This window comes from Homo sapiens, chromosome 3 (genome assembly GCF_000001405.40).
Source record: "Homo sapiens chromosome 3, GRCh38.p14 Primary Assembly".
Classification (NCBI taxonomy): domain Eukaryota; kingdom Metazoa; phylum Chordata; class Mammalia; order Primates; family Hominidae; genus Homo; species Homo sapiens.
In genome coordinates, this window is record NC_000003.12 from 94,331,968 (window position 1) to 94,335,198 (window position 3,231).

Here is a 3,231-nt window from a genome sequence, read left to right on the forward strand (position 1 = left end):
CCAAAGCTAGCCCTGGTTCCATAATTCTCTTCCTCATTCCACTTCAACCAGCCATGTCATTTTGCAGGTTCTGGTACATTCCATGCAAACTGCCTCCACAGGGCCTTCAGACTTACTGTTATGTTCCCCCCACCCCGCCCCACTGCCTTTTTGTTTTCTAAAACATTTGAAAGTAAGTTGCAGACATCATGCTATTTTATCCTAAATGCTTCAGCACATGCCTTATAAGAACAGCATCATGCTTCCACAGGAACATTAGTTTTCATATCTGAGAAACTGAACATTAATAATATTATTCAACATACAGTTCTATTCAAAGTTCTCCAATTGTTTTATGTGTTTCCCCTATAAGTTGTGTGAATGTGGTTTTTAATATTTTTACTTTTTAGAATCTAACCAGGGATCACAATTTGCCTTTGGTTATCATGTGTTCTTAGCTTCCTTTAATCTATAATCATCTCTTTTGTTTTGTTTGTTAATTTGTTTGGCCTTTCGTATCTTGACAGTTTTGACAAATTCAGGTAAACTGTTCTGGAAAATGTTCCACAATTTGGAACACATCAGGTTAAATATTTTGTTCAGGAACATGACAGCAAGGTGATATTGTGGCTTCCCATTGTATCATATCAGGAGGTACATAATGGTAATTTGTCCCATTATTGGTGATGCTTACTTTGATCCCTGGGCTAAGATGTTCTCACTATTGCAAAATTTCCCTTTTTTTCCTTCATAATTCATAATAATCTGTTGGGTGAAATGCTGACAATGTGGAGGTCATTTTACTCTATGTTTTTAAGTAATATTTGATGATTGTTGCCTAAATCAATTCTGAGATTGTTTGCAAAATAGTTATTTTCTAATTGTATCATTTCTTCCACTTATAGTAGCTGGCATACTTTTTTTGAGGTTTTTTTTTTTTTTTTTCCTGCTACCCCCTCTATATTTAGTTGACTTAAAATGCAATATGTTATGATTTTTTTTCTTTAATGCTCAAATAGTCTCAAATTTGGTCAGCTGGATCTTTCAAACTTGTCCTTATGCCTTTTTGTTATGTCCCCATTAATCATTGAGGACCTTCTTGTTTTCTGACATTATAAGAACATTTAAAATCATCAGCGATTTTTCTTGCCCTCAGCCATTTTTCCAAGGAACTGAAGTTCCTTTATGGGGAGAATGGTATTTAGAAACTAAGATGTTGGCACCAGATGAGCACATCAATGTTAGGTTGGGCATGACCAATTTCCACTTCTACTGTATCTGGTCCATTTCCATTCCTCTTTCTCTTGTTCCCACTTATCTAATTTTGGATTTTATGCAATTAAAGCATTTACTTCCTTTGCATTTTCTGTGGTTAAGCAGTTAATTTCATGTGTTTCTACCTAAAATTCTATGTGATTCCTAAAGATTGGCAAGTGGTGAGAATCCCTCTGTCTTCATCTGACAATGAGAAAGCTCTAAAATTCCACACGTTATTCAAGTATTTTGCAGTCACCTCTGTTTGTCTTTCATCTGATTTTTACAGATGTTCTAAAGTTCCCAAAATAAATAGAGGTAATCAGTGAATCACAATATCTGGAAGATAAAGCAAATGCTTACCTGTTTGCTTTGCCATCTGCTCCATTTTAGATTGGATCAGTACATATTCAGTCTCCCCAAACAGTATGCACTTCTCAAATACCCATGGTGACTGGCTCCAATTCCATCTGGTTGTTTCTGATTATTTCATTACAGCTGTTCAGATTTATAAACCCAGCAATTAAAAGAACTTAGACATGTTAATACTTATGTAGCCCTTAACCACCATGCCTCAAAAGAAAAATTGGGAAAGGTTTTACAACACATTGTTTCATTGAAGGGACTGTTATTAGTTTAATGAAACATGCTACACATGCACATTATTTTTAAAGATTTCTTTCTTTCTTTTTAGAGTTGTCAAGCCTTCATTTACAAATAGAAGATTAGCTATAGTTTATTTTAATTGTTCCAAATTTTACAATGGTGAAAAGCAACAATACAAATCCCAGATTTTTTTTCCCCTAGCAATGTTTCTATGGGAAGATTAAGAGTGTCTGCAACTTGTTCTAGAGTAATAATTTCAATTGGCTCAAGTCCATTAACTGCAGGGAAAAACACCTGGCAAGGCGGTTGGTAGCAGCCCATTCTTGTTAACCTTTCAGCCTTCACAATAACTATCAGCAGGCACTGAATCAGGGCCTCTAATAAACTGGCATTAAAGCTGCTGACAGCTAATAACTTTTTATGGGTTTCCAGAACTAAATAAAAGAAAATTCTGATTAATTAGAATCAAACAATTTTCAAATTCCATAACCCCAGAATTAAAAAAAATTTAGACGTATAAAATAAAGTAAATATTAATACGGCCTTTCAGAAGACATTTTCAGCATAAACAAAATAGATTTTAAAGTACATTATTTTAGCTATTTTACTCCAGTTTAACTTTCTGCTACCATGCTCTTTTTTTTTAGTAAAAGAGAAAATAGCTAAGAAATTGAAAACTTAGCATACCAACTATAGAAATAAAGTTTTAACTGAATTATTTCAACATGTCAAATAATTTTGCAAGTGAATTATAGAAACTCTTTAATCTTCAATAATTGTGGAAGAGTAGAACTCAGGAGAGACATTTTAAGGAGAGTATTTAAAAGCTTCACACACATCGATTTTCTTCTTTTTGCCTTCCTATAAGAAAACCAATCTGCAGGTGGACTGTATCTGTAACCTGTTCACCACTGGTTAGGTGGAAACTAAGGTGGTCTTGAGGAGTTGCAGGAGGAAACCAGAGTCGAAAAGTTACGGAAACACTATGGTTCTTTAAGGAAATAGACATAATTTATTTTCTTTCTTGAGCCAGATAGCTGATGTTCAGTTGCTAGATGCAACTCTGGTAGAAAGAAGGCATGGGTAGAGATTGAGTAGGGAGTCAGTTTATATCACTGACGACTTTAGACAAAAACAATTGAGAACCATCATTGTACCAGAATGGAATGTGCGAGGTTTCTTAGGGGCTAGATTCAGGTAACTATGGTGATAGGAGGATAGAGAAGCTCTACCTATACCCATGGCTCAGCTCCTGTAGATGGAAGGAAATAAAGTTGTTTCTGAGAATGGAGAGACACCTGAGACAGTGAGTGAAGACGCAATACAGTGAGGTGAAAACTTCTCCTAACTTCTAAGCTTATAACACAACCTTGTAGGGTGTGGCGAAAACCA

The 3,231-nt window shown here is 35.1% G+C and overlaps 1 annotated feature.

Moving 5' to 3' along the window:
• Positions 207 to 3,018: an enhancer, noted in NCBI's record as "VISTA enhancer hs1462". NCBI's record gives its function as "enhancer in: limb[5/9]" and the evidence as "EXISTENCE:transgenic organism evidence [ECO:0001131][PMID:17130149]".